Source organism: Homo sapiens, chromosome 9 (assembly GCF_000001405.40).
Source record: "Homo sapiens chromosome 9, GRCh38.p14 Primary Assembly".
NCBI classification, from domain to species: domain Eukaryota; kingdom Metazoa; phylum Chordata; class Mammalia; order Primates; family Hominidae; genus Homo; species Homo sapiens.
The window spans coordinates 36,030,709-36,047,409 of NC_000009.12; the positions used below are offsets into that span (position 1 = coordinate 36,030,709).

General features: G+C 40.2%; 1 protein-coding gene across 6 annotated transcripts in view, besides 2 other annotated features; it reads left to right on the forward strand.

Moving 5' to 3' along the window:
* Positions 6,125-6,324: a silencer, noted in NCBI's record as "silent region_19885". NCBI's record gives its function as "represses an Ori minimal core promoter by ATAC-STARR-seq in GM12878 lymphoblastoid cells {active_cell/tissue: GM12878}" and the evidence as "EXISTENCE:reporter gene assay evidence [ECO:0000049][PMID:35858748]".
* Positions 6,205-16,701, forward strand: part of RECK (reversion inducing cysteine rich protein with kazal motifs) — an 87,543-nt gene continuing 77,046 nt past the window's right edge. For all 6 annotated transcript variants that reach the window (NM_001316345.2, XM_017015207.2, NM_021111.3 and 3 more), the window contains exon 1: positions 6,205-6,390. Coding sequence is in view for 4 of the 6 variants with exons in the window: in NM_021111.3 (NP_066934.1) it covers positions 6,291-6,390 (100 nt within the window). In the remaining 2 variants the exon portion in view is untranslated. The remainder of the gene's footprint in view (positions 6,391-16,701) is intronic.
* Positions 6,335-6,484: a silencer, noted in NCBI's record as "silent region_19886". NCBI's record gives its function as "represses an Ori minimal core promoter by ATAC-STARR-seq in GM12878 lymphoblastoid cells {active_cell/tissue: GM12878}" and the evidence as "EXISTENCE:reporter gene assay evidence [ECO:0000049][PMID:35858748]".

Here is a 16,701-nt window from a genome sequence, read left to right on the forward strand (position 1 = left end):
ATGACTTAATAGCTCATTTCTTTTTAGCACTGAATAATATTCCACAGTCTGGATGCACCAAAGTTGTTGTCTTTTTTTCCTCCATTCACCTACTAAAGGACATCTTGGTTGCTTCCAAGTTTTGGCAATTAGGACTAAAGCTGCTATAAATATCCATGTGCAAGTTTTTATGTGGACATAAGTTTTCATGAACCAATATTTAAACAGAAATTTCTCAGTGCTTCATTTTCAGGATACCATCTTAATTTAAATAAAGAGTTGTGTGGGATTGCAAGTTAAGTTATTTCAAAAACGGTGACCCTTGGCAAGGTACTCATCTCTATGAATCAGGATTTTCTCTATAGCAGGCAACAAAAAGAAAATGCGTTAAATAAATCGGAAGCTGGAACATGTGTGACTGCAACAGTCATCCATAATTCCAGAATTCAAGTTTTTATATTTATCAAAATCTTACTCACTGTCTTTGAATTCTCATTCACTGTCTTTGAACTCTCATTCACTGACTTTGAACTACATAATTGCTATAAATTTGAACTTATAAAATAAGTGTAGCAATACAACACAACTTTTTTCTTGTTTATATAGCAGAACTCTAAGATTTTTTTGGGAAAGGAATGATTCTATAGTTAAAAAATAAAAAATAATAGTTTTAAGTTCAAAAATTACTAAAATAAACTGCCAAAGAGAGTAAAGAATGGGGGGGTGGAAATTTTATATTCACAGGCTTACGTCTTTAGAGGGCTTATTGGAGGCTGGCAGGATATTGTACCAGCATCATAGGCTGAGGTCTCAATGCTGAATTTCATAACGTGGGTGTTGGATGCCTAGGAGTAGGGCTTTTCTTCCTCCTCTTAGATCTTACTGTAGGCATCAGTGTGGATGTTAGATATGCCAATTCTGCTCCGAGGCACAGGGACCCTTCGTTCTCCAAGGCCTTACTCCCAGTTATTAAATTAACAGTGAACATGACACACTAGCAATTGGAAAATGTCTCTGGCTGGTAGTTGCTTTCAAGCAACCACTTCTAGAAGGGGTGATCAAATCTTCAATGGACAGTTAGTTGACTCTGCATATCCCCTTCCTGCCGAATGACTAAAACTAAATCTCAGTAAGTTCAGTGGGATCTCAGTTTAGTCAAGGCCTCTCACAAACCCCTCCCCAGCTTTGAGAGGTCTATATAGAGCCAAAGCCAGCAACTGGGACTGGAGAAGAAGACAGGACATGTGGTCCTCAGTCATCATCATCAATCCCTGTTGACATCTGCATTCTCATCTGGTATCCATTTGTACAGATGATTCAAATAACAGATACAGCCTCCTCATTCCAATCTTGAGGTCGCTTCAGGCTCTCAGCTGTCTCCTACCTTGCATCTCTTGAGGGGCAAAAAAACATTTGGCTGCTCTTCTGTGTGGAGCATGAAACAGGACACATTTGCAGCCATTTCTACTCTATACCTACATCGTGTTAAGTGCAGATGAATTTTATGAGGTCTGTCATTTCCTGAGCTCCACACAGCAAGGAGAATCAGATCCCCTCTTATCTCGTAGTCTCAAGCCTTTCTGGGGATTCTATGTCCCACCCCACTGCATCAGAAGAAGGAGACCAGAGACGCCTTCTTTTCCTCCAGTGGCTCTCCTCCTTCCACATCAGAGTGAATCAAATTGCTGGGGACTGAGGGGGTAGGAGGGACTGTGTCTGACTAATCATAGTATTCTTCCATGTCTGTTCTTCATACAAATATTTTATGCTCTCAGCTATAAAATAGACCACGTTCTGATATTTCAAAGGCTTTTTCTCTTTAAAGCCATTGTCTCTGCCTGAAATTTTAAGTGTATGTTTTTTAAAACCAAAAGCTAGGAGTTGTCCTCTTTGACTATTTTTCTACTCTAATGATCATCTCTGAAGATGTGAATGCCTTGCCCTCATGTTTTAGTTCTAATGAAGGAATTACTGGGAACAGAAAATACATTAATATTTCACAAAATTGTCCTACTGTACACATATGAAATCAGATGCCATAAAGTCTTAGTTAACTAACTCAAAATGGACCTCTTCCTTATTAAGCTAGGTCAATTAATCATGATCAAATATGTTCAGGCTAAACAAAGTCAGAAAAAGTATTTCCATTAAAGATTGGCTTTAGAAATTTACTATGCAAAAGTTCTAAAAAACAATACTCCTATTTAATTAAAACTACTTAAACATCTGCCATATTCTTAATTTTAAAAGTTTCTCTTTCTGAAACAGATTCAGGCTCTGCTGCAGGAAGCAATTAAGAAATGAGGATATTTGGCCAGGAATGGTGGCTCACAGCTACAATCCCAGCACTTTGGAAGGCCGAGACAGAAAGATCACTTGAGCCCAGGAGTTCGAGACCAGCCTGGGCAACATAGTGAGACCTCGTCTCTACAAAAAATCAAAAAAATTAGCTGGGCATGGTGGCACACACCTGTTGTCCCAGCTACTCAAGAGGCTGAGGCGAGAGGATCACTTAAACCTGGGAGGTTGAGGCTTCAGTGAACTGTGATCATGCCACTGCACTCCAGCCTGGGTGACAGAGCAAGACCCTGTCTCATTTAAAAAAAAAAAAAAGTTTGTGTGTGTGTGTGTGTGTGTATGTATAAAAGAAATAAGGATAGTCTGTAGTCTCAGACAAAAATATCTGCCCTCATGAAGTAAGGAAACAAATAATAAACAAGCAACACTTTGGGAAAGTAAGTAGTATATTTTATAATATTATATATTAGAACCTATTAATATGGTAGAAGGTAATCATGGCTTTTGAAAATATAAAGTGTGAAAGGGGAGAAGAAGTTCAGAGGTGGGGTTGAGTTTTAATTTTAAGAAGGGCAATTAAGGAAGGCCGTTTGAGTTAAGACCTAAAAAAGAAAAGGGAGAGTGTACAACTATCTGGGAGAAATTAATTCCAAGCAGAAAGAACTCCAAGCACAGAGGTCCTGAGGCAGGAGTTACATGGAGCAGTTAGGGAAAGGCCCTGAGCAAGATTGGCTGGAGGTGATGGCTGGACACGACAGAAACAGTAGGAACTGAAGTCAGAGATAGAAGAAGAGGAGGAAAGGTGCAAGACCTTGAGAACCATGGTTTTTTGGCTCAAAACAAAATCATTGGTGAGTAACATTCTTTAAAATATCGTACTCATCTCTAAGCATTAACCTTTTTTTAGAATGAAAGATAATTACACTACTCTTACAGTGCTTAAAATTGCATATTGGGGCTGGGCATGGTGGCTCATGCCTGTAGTCTCAACAGCTTGAGAGGCCGAGGCGGGAGCATTGCTTGAGTCCAGGAGTTTGAGAACAGAATGGGAAACATAGCAAGACCACATCTCTACAAAAAATAAAATAAAATAATTAGCTGGGCATGATGGCATGCACCTGTAGTTCCAGCTATTCAGGCAGCTGAGGTGGGAGGATCACTGCAGGCCAGGAGTTCAAGGCTGCAGTGCCCCAGGACTGTGCCACTGCTCTCCATCCTGGGCAACAGAAGGACACCCTGTCTCAGGAAAAACATAATTACATTTGTGGTTCACTTTGGGCTCACACGTGTAATTTTAAGTTTTCTGATAGCTACATCTTAAAAAATAAAAAAAATAAGAGTAGATACATGTTATTACACCTTCGTCTAAACCCACAGAATGTACAACACCAAGAGTGAATCCTAATGTGAACTATGGACTTTGGTTGATGATGTGTCAATGTAGGCTCATCAATTGTAACAAATGTACCATTCTGGTGCAGGATGCTGACAGTGGGGGGAGGTTTACATATGTGGGGGCAGGGACTGTCTACCTTCTGTACTTTCCACTCAGTTTTGCTGTCAACTTAAAACGGCTCTAAAAAATAAGGTCTACTTTGCCTCAACCTCCTGCCTCAACCTCCTGAGTAGCTGGGACTATAGGCACGCGCCACCACACCTGGCTAATTTTTGTATTTTTAGTAGATACAGGGTTTCACCATGTTGGCCAGGCTAGTCTTGAACTCCTGACCTCATGATCCACCCACCTTGGCCTTCCAAAGTGCTGGGATTACAGGCATGAGCCACCGCGCCCAGCCCCTGTCAAGAGTTTTAATGCTTTCCAGCAGCCACACATCAAATGATTGCCATCAGGATTAGACAACTTGAAGAACTTACCCCAACTGCCAAAGCCTACATGTGATTCTACATCCCAATGTAACTACTTATTTTTTTTTTTCTTTTAATTGAGATGGGGGTCTGACAACGTTGCCTGGGCTGGCCTCAAACTCCTGGGCTGAAGTTATCCTCCCACCTTGGCCTCCCAAAGTGCTGGAATTACAGGCATGAGCAACTGCGCCCAGCCGCAACTGTTAATAATGATAGCATCATGACTCTTTGGCCCAGTGACTGTGTCAATAGTGGTACTATTACTCTCAGAGGGGAATTGTTAAAATAAATTAAAATGAAGACCAGGTCTGCAGAATTCCTGAGCAGATAGTCAATTTAGTCCTCATAAGTGACCTTAAACTTACTTGAGTTAATCTGAGCTATTTCTTGTAAATGCATATATTAAAGAAAAACAGAACAAGCTCAACCAATCAGAAGTAGTCCACAAACTTGTATAACTAGAGGCTTTTTAGTGGGATAGACCAAATAAGGCAACTTTATAACTGTAACCAATCAAATATTTTCTTTTTATTACTTTCCCATTCACTCTGTAAAAATCTGCTTCTTCGACAGAGCTGAGCCCCAGAACCACTTCTGGTTTGCAGCTTCTCAATTCATGAATCACCGCGTGCTGAAGTAAACTTTAAAATTTTATTGTGCCTCAGTTTACCTTGTACACAGAAGCAACAGAGTCATCAGAGGAGATGTTTTAGATATTTTAACTTATTCATGTTTTCCTTTTGTAAACTCGAAAGAGAGGATAAATGTAAGAGCCCAAAAACATAAAAACCAACTTTAATATATGGATTTTGTTTAGAACTTGAAAAATTGTAAAAAGAAATCATGAGACAATAAGAAAAATGTAAATAATGACTGGATATTTAATAATATTAAGGAATTTTAAAAATGTTTTAAGTAATTTAGCCCCAGGTGTCTTCATGAGAATTTAAAACGGTGGTCATGCTTTTTCAAAAAAGGAGGAAAAAGGGTTTAATTCAGGAACACACAGAGAAAAAAAGAGACAATGAATTAGCTTTGCTAGCCAGTGGCTTAAACATTCTCCACGTAGCTGCTGGGCTGATGGGTGGGGTGGGACCCACTTCCAACTTGTCTCTTGGACAAAGTCTATACTTCTCAGCCGGATATTCAAGGCTTTCCACATCTAGGTATACAAGCGTTCTCCTATCCTCTTTTCCTATCAGGAATAGGTGCTTAATAGTAACATCAAGGCCAGGCACAGTGGCTCACGCCTGCAATCCCCGTACTTTGGGAGGAGGAGGCTGGGGGATTGCTTGAGGCGAGGAGTTCGAGACCAGCTTGAGAAATATGGTGAAACCCCTTCTCTGCAAAAAAAATATAAAAATTAGCCAGGCGTGGTCACCTGCGCCCGTGGTCCCAGCTATTCAGGAGGCTGAGGTGGGAGGATCGCTTGAGCCCGGGAGGCGGAGGTTGCAGTGAGCCGAGATCGCGCCACTGCACCCCAGCTTGGGCGACAGAGCGACTCTTGCCTAAATAAATAAATAAATAATTTTTAAAGTACAACAAAGACACATTGAGGCTATAGTGCCAAAGAGCTCTAGTGATGAACCCTTGTCAGGGGGCCGTGTCTGCGGGAGGCCGAAGGATCCCGGGTGACATGCTTTCTTTGGGTGCGAGGCAGCGTCTCGGCAGAAAGAATATTGCGAGTATTACTGAGGGTACATGAAGGAGAGAAGCCCCTTTGGTTCGGCCTTGGACTAAGCCCTTGTTCTCAGGTGAACTTGCAGTGTGATCTTGAGTAAGGTCAGTCTCCTCTCTCACCTCAGTGGCCCGAAACCTCAGGAGGTGGCAGAGGTTTTCTAATGACTCTCCCAGCTCTGACATCCTCTGACTTCACTCTGGGAGAACGTGGGCTGGTGGACTCCTGGCAGAAGCCGACACACAGTTGGGCCATAACAAAGAGCCCTGGTACGGGGCACGTTCCCGCCCCCGGGAGGTTTTGGAAACACTGTGAGGCAGGGGGCGGGGCTTGAGCGGGCCGCAGCCAGTCACCAAAGGGCCGGGCGCTGGGGGCGGGGCCTCGCGCGAGCGGCGGCGGTAGCGGCGGCAGCGGCTGCGGCCAAGCTGGGTCCGAGCATCCCGCGGCTCTGGAGCCGCCCGGCCCGGACATGGCGACCGTCCGGGCCTCTCTGCGAGGTGCGCTGCTCCTTCTGCTGGCCGTGGCGGGGGTCGCGGAGGTGGCAGGGGGCCTGGCTCCGGGCAGTGCGGGTGAGTAACCTCCAGAGCAACGGTTCGAAGCTGTCGGGAGCGGCCGCCACAGCGCTCCAAGATGGCGCGGGGCAGGGGGCGGGGGTGCGCGCGACCCCCAGACCCTGCCCACGTCCGGCGACCCCGGGACCCCAGGTCTCAGCGCTCCAGAGGCTGGTGCCGAGGCGGGGCGAGTGAGGAACTCTCTCCGCCCCAAGATCTTCTGGGCGGTGACTCGGGTTTGAGGCCTTGGTCTGTCACCCACCGACACGGGCCCCCTCTTCGGCACTGACCCCTTCGCTTGCCTCTGCTGCTTGTCAGAAAAGGGTGCGATGCCCCCGCCCAGGATCGTCGCGAGGTTTAGATGGGATTTCGGATACGCAGCCGCCCTACCGCGGCCCTAGTTAGTTATTGTTACTTGTTACTTGACCCGCACTTGGTTCATAACGACCTTGGTGGCGGTGAGCACTGACGGTCCCCACAGCCCGCGTGGTGGGTCCTGGACTCGGGCAGGAGACATTAAAAATCAGTAAACCCTGTCCCCCGGGGGCTGGCAGGCTTGAGGAGAGAAATTCTTGCTCTACAAGAACTAAACCAAGGATGGATAGGAAACTGTTAAGTGCTTATTGATTGCTTCCCGCTTGCTGGCCTTTTGAGTGCACGCCGACTCCTTCCGTCCAAAAGCTCTCTCGGTAGGAGATGGGGTACAGCAGGAGATTGAAGTAACTCGAATTCAAGGCAGAAATGTCCAGAGGAAATGAAGGGCCATGTATGAGTGCACAGAGGGAGAGAGGACATCGACCTAGGATGAGTGGAAAGTGGAGTGATTCCCCCTAGCTGTACTAGACATTGAAAGATGGCTAGGACGTGTGCATGCAAAAGTGGTGAAGTGCATTGCTTACAGGGAGACAGGCAGAGACACCTTAAAAAAAAAAAAAAAAAAAGCAAAGTCAGCCGGGTGCGGTAGGCTCTCCCCTGTAATCCCAGCACTTTGGGAGGTGGAGGCGGGCGGATCCCTTGAGCCCAGGAGTTCGAGGCCATCCTGCTTAACATAGTGAAACCCCGTTTCTACTAAAAATACAAAAATTAGCCGGGCATGGTGGTGTATGCCTGTTGTTCCAGCTACCCGCGAGGCTGAGATACGAGGATTGCTCGAGCCCCGGGAAGTTGAGGCTGCAGTGATATGCCACTGCCCTCGGAAGTGAGACCCTGTCTCAAAAAAAAATCAAAGTCAGTTCCAACAGGGGTATTAACTATAGCTAGGTTTCAAATTTAGCTGTAAACTATCCCAAAGAATAAAAGAGAAAATGCTGTGTATTCTTGGCTAAATCAGATTACTTTCCTGGGCCCCATTTTTCTCCCTGTTAAATTAAAAGAGATTGAACTGAAACACTTACAAAATTATGAAATACTAGTTGTCCATTCTCCTCCCACAACCAGTCAGTTCTGCAGGAGGTAGTACAGTGGAGTGGTTAAGAACATTGAGCAAATTACTTAGCTTTAATCTTTTTGTGCTCAAATAGCCACATTTATTATAAATGGTACCTCACAGATTTTATTATGAGAATCGAGGTAATACATGTCCAGCATTTAGCGTAGTAAGCAGTGAAATATTAGCTATTAAGTATGTTCGGGAAATACTGCAGATGGTACCCTGTCTTATAAATTCACAAAACACATTAGATTCACAATAAAGGGTCCAAGGATTCCTGTGGTAAAACAAACAAACAAACAACAAAAAAAAAAACAAGAAACTTTTTTGCTGGGGGAATGGCAGTGATTGCTAATGAGTATGAAGTTTCTTTTGGGAGTAATGAAAATGTTCTAAAATTAGATAGTGGTGATGGCTACACAACTCTGTGAATATACTAAAAACAACTGAATTGTACATATTAAAAGGGTTAATTTCATGGTATACAAATTGTAGCTCAATAAAGTTGTTAAAGAAAGAAACTTGTTTGCTCATAAAATTCTTTTTTTCTTCATAACACCTAAAGCGCACTTCAGAAAATGCTGGGTTAGTTGATTTCTAAAGGCCCTTCTAAGCTCTAAAAGTTCATGACAACATATAGTTTGCATTGTTTGATAAAAAAAAAAAATTCCAAGTTTGATCTAAAAGTGAGACATGTTCCTTATACTAAATTCTAGGAAGCATGTATTGCCTGGTTCCTTACTAAAGGACATTGAGTAATATAATGGACAAAGGCTTCCACTGTGAATTGTAGAAAGTATAGAAAATGCTTTTCAATCCTAAACAGAATTAAGAACACAATATAAAATTGTATTTCAGTGAAGGCTTTGCTTGTATTCCTGCTCAGTCTTCCTTCCCTTCTTAACCGCATCCAAGATTGGGTACTTCTGTCTGCTCTGGTATAAGGCTTTGCAGGTTATTGACCCCCTCTATTATACAACTTTGCAAATCTTATTACCTTGATTATTCCTATTCCTGGGGGATGGAGGTGTGAAAGTGAAATGACTTGCTCAATGGTTTTCTCTTTGGAGGATGAGAAGGGACCCTATCCTGCAGTATCAGCATCGTGTGTCATGGCACCTGATAATGGCTCCGTTTTTATTTAAGTTGCTTTGTAATAGTACAAAAGAGGGAAGGATATAACCTTAAGGGCCAGGTTTCAGTAAGTTGACATTTAAGGAATTAGGTAATAGTAAACCTAGAATCCAGAAGAAGAAAGTAATGAATTTTAAGTTAGAAAAAGCAAACGCCTATCTGGAGCAAAGTAATAAGAAGCAGATTCTCTTACCAAAGAAGTATCTTGGCCCACACTGTAGAAAGAGCTAGGATTGGTGATAGACCAGATATGACAGTTTATTCTGGTATGCAGCTGAAAGTTTCTGTCTGGCATCCATAAATTTAAGCAATCTTTCATTAATAATACTTTTCACTGTGTGCCACTTGTAGAAGAAAATGGGAAGAGGTCAAGGAGGTTATTTTTATATATTATAAATGTGGTTTTTAAAAGAACAAAAGAGATATTATGAGGTTTGTTTATCCAAAAAATACTATATGAGTACTTATTATACGTCAGGCACTGTTCTAGGTGCAGAGCTGCTGCTCCAAGGAGCTTACATTCTGAGAGGTGATAGACAATAAATAGATAAATATGTAACAAAATGATTTCTAGGTATGATAAGGATGCCATGAAGGAACTAAACCAAATGGCTAACACAGAGAATTGTGTGAGTAGTTCTTTGTGTAAAAGAACTTCAAAAGAGTTTATAAGAGCTGCCTCTTTGAGAAGGTAAAGTTTAGAACTGAGATCCGAAGGCTGAGAAGGTGGTGGGTAGTCTTATGAAAGACAGGGGTGAGGTCCAGGAAGTGCAGAAGCCTTAAGGCATAAGGAACAAAAGGTTATATGGTTGGAATGTAGTGACCAACAGAGTATGCTAGGGCTAGATGGTGCAGAGCATTGCAAAAAACCACATAAGGATTATGGATTTTATTCTGTGCACAGATAGAAACCAATAGAGTTTTAAGTAAGAGTGGTATGATTTTATTTCTATTTTAGATCAGTATTGCTGCTGAATGAAAAAAATTATTGTAGTGGGGTAAGAGTATAAGCAGGATGACTAGAAGGCCATTGCAGTAGTTCAAGCAGGAGATAAGGGTTGACTCAAGAGTAGAGTGGTGTGGAGATAGGAGAGGGGATATTTAAAATATGTTGCTGATGGATTAGATGTGGGAAGTGAGGGAAGAAGGAATTAAGGATTACTCATAGGTTTTTTTTTTAATCATGAGCAATTTAATAAAAGTTGATGCCATTTACTGAAGTAGGGAAGATGGAGGAAGAGCATTTTGGAGGAGGGTTGTAAGGTAAGGAAAGGAGAGAATAAAAAGTTCTATTTTTGTACATGTTTAGGATGAATATTAGTAATAATTGCACTAGGGCCATTGCTTATTAAGCCAAATTCCATACTTGTGAGTAATCCATTTAGCAAATATTTATTAAACTATTAATACTGACAGACACTGTGATAGGCAGAGGTATAAAGTGGTAAGCAAAAATAGGGGCTTAAGTTTAGTGGGAAATTCAGACAGGAAATTCACCCCAAAATGTATAATACCTACATGGCTAATATTATGTGGTTATATTAGTACATACCTATTTATATCCTAAATCTGAAGAATATATTTGAGGAAAAAGCATATGGTTTCATCAGGTATATAGCACATAGTATGATGGATGCTGTAAAGCACATAGGTAACTTGAACAAGACTATAAGTGGAGTATTAAGAGATGTGTTCTGACCATGAGATAATTGGGAGCTATACTTTTAGATCCTTTGTTTAGAGATGGGAGCCCTGCTGCAGTGGGGAAGGGAATTATCTAAAAATACTGACTGTTGAAGAGGACTTCAGAAGAGTCATTTGCTTTAGTTGTTTCATAATGATCAATGTCTAGGTTACAGCTCTTTTGACTCTAAGGAACAAAACCCAAAATAAGTCAGGATTAGGGGGCTGGTTATATAGCATTTAACAGGAAATCACATGGAAAGCCAAGGGTAGGAAATTCAGCACATCTCTACCTCAGGGACTGCTACAGGAACTAGAAAGTTGACAGGAACCAAGACTGACAGGAAATTAGACTTCCCGTGTGTTCTTTTAGAGACAGTCTTTATCTCACATGGCTTCTCTCTGTGCATCTCTTCCAGTTTCCTCTCTCCCTCAATCAGCTTCCTTTTTTTTTTTTTTTTTGCACATAGTTTCCACACCCTCATAAAATGTCAGCTTCCCAGCCTCAGCTCTTCTTGACCTTATAGCTGCAGAGCCCACCACCAACTGGCTGCCTGCCTCTTACCTGAGTATGATTTAGTCCAATTTATCTTTTGATTTAAAAATCATATGATGTTTTCTAAATTATAGGTGAGTTACCATATGAAATATGGTACTGAAATAGTATTAATATAGTGAGAGAAATTTTTTTGTACTTTTTTCCTGTTAAAAAGACATTGTATAACTATAGGATATTACTACTTTTTTTTTTAGTAGGTTTTAGGGGAACAGGTGGTATTTGGTTACATGAATAAGTTCTTTAGTGGTGATTTCTGAGATTTTGGTGCACCCATCACTACAGTGTACCCAATGTGCAGTCTTTTATCCCTCATCCCCCGCTCACTCTTCCCCTGCTGCCACCGAGTCCCCAAAGTCCGTTGTATTGTTCTTATGCCTTTGTGTCCTCATAGCTTAGCTGCCACTTGATAAATGAGAACATACAATGTTTGGTTTTTCATTCCTGGGTTACTTCACTTAGAATAATGGTCTCCAACTTCATACAGGTTGCTGCAAATGCCATTATTTCATTCCTTTTTATGGCTGAGTAGTATTCCATAGTGTGTGTGTGTGTGTGTGTGTGTGTGTGTGTGTGTGTGTGTACACATATACCACATTTTCTTTATCCAATGGGCATTTGGGCTGATTCCATATTTTTGCAATTGCTAATTGTGCTGCTACACACATCTACCACATTTTCTTTATCCACTTGTTGATTGATGGGCATTTGGGCTGCTTCCATATTTTTGCAGTTGCTAATTGTGCTGCTATAAGCATGCGTGTGCAAGTGTCTTTTTCATATGACTTCTTTTCCTCTGGATAAATATCTAGTAGTGGGATTACTGGATCAAATGGTAGATCTACTTTTAGTTCTTTAAGGAATCTCCCTACTGTTTTCCATGGTGGTTATACTCATTTACATTCCTACCAGCAATGTAAAAGTGTTCCCTTTTCACCACATCCACTCCCACATCTGTTATTTTTTTATTTTCTAATTATGGCTATTCTTGCATGAGTAAGGTGGTATTGCATTGTGGTTTTGATTTGCATTTCCCTGGTAATTAGTGATGTTGAGCATTTTTTCATATGTTTGTTGGCCATTTGTATATCTTGTTTTGAGAACTGTCTATTCATGTCCTTAGCCCACTTTTTTTTTTTTTTTTTTTTTTTTTTTTTTGTTGAGACGGAGTCTCGCTCTGTTGCCTAGGCTGGAGTGCATCTCGTGATCTCGGCTCACTGCAAGCTCCGCCTCCCGGGTTCACGCCATTCTCCTGCCTCAGCCTCCCGAGTAGCTGGGACTACAGGCGCCTGCCACCACGCCTGGCTAATTTTTTTTTTTTTTTTTTTTTTTTGCGTTTTTAGTAGAGACGGGGTTTCACCATGTTAACCAGGATGGTCTCAATCTCCTGACCTCCTGATCCACCCGCCTCGGCCTCCCAAAGTGCTGGGATTACAGGCGTGAGCCACCGAGTCCGGCTCCTTAGCCCACTTTTTAATGGACTGTTTGTTTTTCTCTTGCTGATTTGTCTGAGTTCCTTGTAGATTCTGGATATTAGTCCTTTGTCAGATGCATAGTTTGCAAAGATTTTCTCCCACTCTGTGGGTTATCTGTTTACTCTGCTGATTATTTCTTTTGCTGTGCAGAAGCTTTTTAGTTTAATTAAGTCCCATGTATTTATCTTTGATTTTGTTGCTTTTGCTTTAGGGTTCTCGGTCATAAAGTCTTTGCCTAATTCAATGTCTAGGTGGGTTTTTCCGATGTTATCTTCTAGAATTTTTACAGTTTCAGGTCTTAGAATTAAGTCTTGATCAATCTTGAGTTGATTTTTGTATGACGTGAGAGATGAGAATCCAGTTTCATTCTTCTACATACAGTTTGCCAATTATCCCAGCACCATTTGTTGAGTAGGATGCCCTTTCCCCACTTTACGTTTTCATTTGTTTTGTCGAAGATCAGTTGGCTGTAAGTATTTTGCTTTATTTCTGGGTTCTCTATTCTGTTCCTATGTGCCTATTTTTATACAAGTACCATGCTGTTTTGGTGACTATAGCCTTATAGTATAATTTGAAGCTTCCATTTGAATTTTAGGATTGAAATTCAAATTTTAGGAACTAGAATTGTTTTTTCTAGTTCTGTGAAGAATGATGATGGTATTTTGATGGGAATTGCATTGAATTTGTCTATTGCTTTTGGCAGTATGGTCATTTTGACAATATTGATTCTACCCATCCGTGAGCATGGGATATGTTTCCATTTGTTTCTGTTGTCTGTAATTTCCTTCAGCAGTGTTTTGTAGTTTTCCTTGTAGAATTCTTTCACCTCCTTGGTTAGGTATATTCCTAAGTATTTTATTTTATTTTTTTTTTTTGCAGCTATTATAAAAGAGGTTGAGTTCTTGATTTGATTCTTAGAGTGGTCACTGTTGGTGTATAGCAGTGCTACTGATTTTATACCTTGATTTTGTATCCTAAAACTTTATTGAATTCGTTTATCAGATCTGGGAGCTTTTTGGATGAGTCTTTAGGGTTTTCTAGGTATACGATCATATGATCGGCAAACAGCAACAGTTTGACTTCCTCTTTACCAATTTGGATGCCCTTGATTTCTTTCTCTTGTCTATTTGCTCTGGCTAGGACTTCCATTATTCTTTATTAGTCAGTGAATCTAATTTTTGAGCTGAGCACTGTGCTAATTGTACCAAGAAGCTTACAATCAATCTGGGGATACCAAGAGAACCCACATGAAATGATTAGAGAAGAGTTAAGTGTTAAAGTTTCCTACTCTCACTAGAATAGTAGGGTCTTAAATAACAAAAACATCAACATGGCCTAGAGTTGTTGGAGAAGAAAGGCTTACTAAGAATTAAGATGATAGTTAAGCCTTGCAATATGTTTGGAGTCAGCAGGAAGTGGGCATCAAGCATTTCAGGCAGAGGACTGCATTCTAGGTAAGTGTAGATTTTCTTTGCTAAAAGTAATAGAAGTTTAGGGAAGGGAAGGCTAGAGAAAGACTTTGAAATTTTAGAATTGGAATAGCAGGAAGCCATTGTAGGACCTTGATTAGAAGAGGGATGTCATGAAAGGTCTGTTAAAAAAAGTAATCTGGCAGTCATATTGGTACTACAATTGACTTAATATAATTGGCTGCTGCAGCAGTGCAATATGAGGCAAGCAGTGGAGAAGGATGTATGTAACTTGCAAATGATTCGGGAAAAAAACAAAATATGTATCTATCCATACATACATACAGATAGATATGGCAGTATGACAAGATGTTAGCAGTGTTGAATTGAGGTGGTGAGTATGTGGGTAATCCTCTCACTATTTGGCGCTTCCTTGGCTGACTGTATACTTTATGCAGATATACCCACGTGTATATTTTTAAAGGGTTAAATGTGACAATTTCATGAATGTATTTATAAGTTAAAGTTGCAGTTCTCATTTAAATGTTTTTTAAGTGATTGTCATTTTCCAAGTTGTTTTGAAAATTAAAATTTGATTAAAAATAAGATTTTACATTAAAAAACAGATTTTTAAATTAATTTTTTAAATTTGAATGATCTTTTTCCAGTATCAACTCAGATTTAGTTTTTTTCTCCTGAAGTGTGTAATACACACTCAATGCACGTGCACACACACACATCTATGTATGTATATGTGTGTGTATATATATATTTATACACATACACACTGTTTTAGTTGTTCTTTAGGGAGACATTAATTAGAGGGAATCTTTTTTTTTTTTTTTTAGGAAACAAGAATTGCTTTTCATTAACCAACTGAATTATAGCTTTTGTGAGACATCTGTGGCAAAAATCCCTTTTAACTTCAAAAATCCTATAATTCTATGGATATTTCTTAGTTTTGGATTAGGGTGTGTATTTGTTTTTTTAAAGCTAGTTGGCTTTAGAAGCTGCGTTTTTCTGCATGTGGCTGGAGCATGTGCTTCCTGCTTACTTGCCTGTCTTTAGTATACACATGGCCAAAACCAGCAGCTGAAACTCGATGTTTCTAATTATTGGATAATTCTGCTTGCATATTTTCAGGCTACACTAATACCTTCTTAAGCCCAAAAAATGTGGCCTTTAGTAATCAATTTTTAATTTTTATTTTATAATCACAGACTATTGGAATAAGAATGCAAGATACGACACTCATACTGATGTCTTTAATGAAGATAACACCTGTGTTTTTTATTTTCATCATAGCAGTGTCAAATTTTATTTTGAATCATTCCATCTTTATCTGTTCAATTCCATTTTATGAAAATAAGCAGAGTTTTAAACTATTATTCTTGAAGAATATGTTAGGATCAAATTATAAACCCAGAATATGTCTAGAATTCATTATCTTCTCTTATAGAAAGCATTAGGCCTGGGAGAGTTTTGTTTTGTTTTGTTGTATTGTAATAGTTGAATGACCCAATTAATCCCTTTTAGTTGCTCTGAAAAAGATAAAGACCCTTAAATGCCACATTAATTGCATTTGAATTCTTCTCCCATTGATAACGAAGTCATATGAATGGATGTCTATTTGTAGACATTTATTTCTTGAAAAATATGCAACGTTAAAGATTCTAATAAGCTTTAGCTATTTCAAAGGAAGAAAAATGTGTGCAGATACAATAATGGCTAAGGGTAAGAAGAGAGTGTAGAAAATGTGACGGAGCAGAGGTCCCCTGTCCTGTTCGTGGAGAGTGGCAATGCCCTCAAGAGAAGACATATGCTGTTACAGAAGAACATTTGGTTGGGAGGAGGAAAGAAGTTATTACCAGAAGACTTTAGGCTTCCCTCTTTCATCCCATTTTGTCAGAAGTATCAAAAAGTCTTTTGGAAAGACTAGAAGGAATATATGCCAAAATGTCAACAGATGTTGTGGCAGGACAGTGGAAATATAATTTTTCTTTTTCTTCTTGTTTTCCAAATTTTTGAGGTTTTTTAAATGAAAAAAAGAATTATTTTAAAAATTTAACTTTGAGGGATACTCCCCTATAGATTTGACCTTCACCATTTAATTGGAAAAAAAGGCTTTTATAGTTATATTTTTAGTAAGACCTCTGTTAGTGGAGTTTTAATTATAACACATTTTGTGTTTCTGTTTGAAATAGACCTTTGCTCCAAGAAATTGTTTTTCAAAAATCCCTAGGTCCAAATCAGACTCCTGTCTGCCTGATTGTTTACTTTTTGCTGAGCCTTTTTCTGTTTATTGGGACCATATGTTATCTTGAATTACCTTTGCTTACGACCAGCAGGATTTTCTGCCCTCACATGAACTTTGTGTTAGAGGCTAGTAGTAGAAAGTGCCAACTTCTAGAGCTCTTCAAAAGAGCACATCAGTGTCACTCAGGAGAGCCTTTTTTCCTGACTATCCTCCCAGTCTAATGAGGGTAGGGACATAGCAGAGTCTTAGGAGATGGATGTAGTTTCGTGTGGCATTGCAGAGGAGTTGTTATAAGAAAGCGTCGGCCAGGTGTGGTGGCTCATACCTGTAATCCCAGCACTTTGGGAGGCCAGGGTGGGCGGATCACTTGAGGCCAGGAGTTCAAG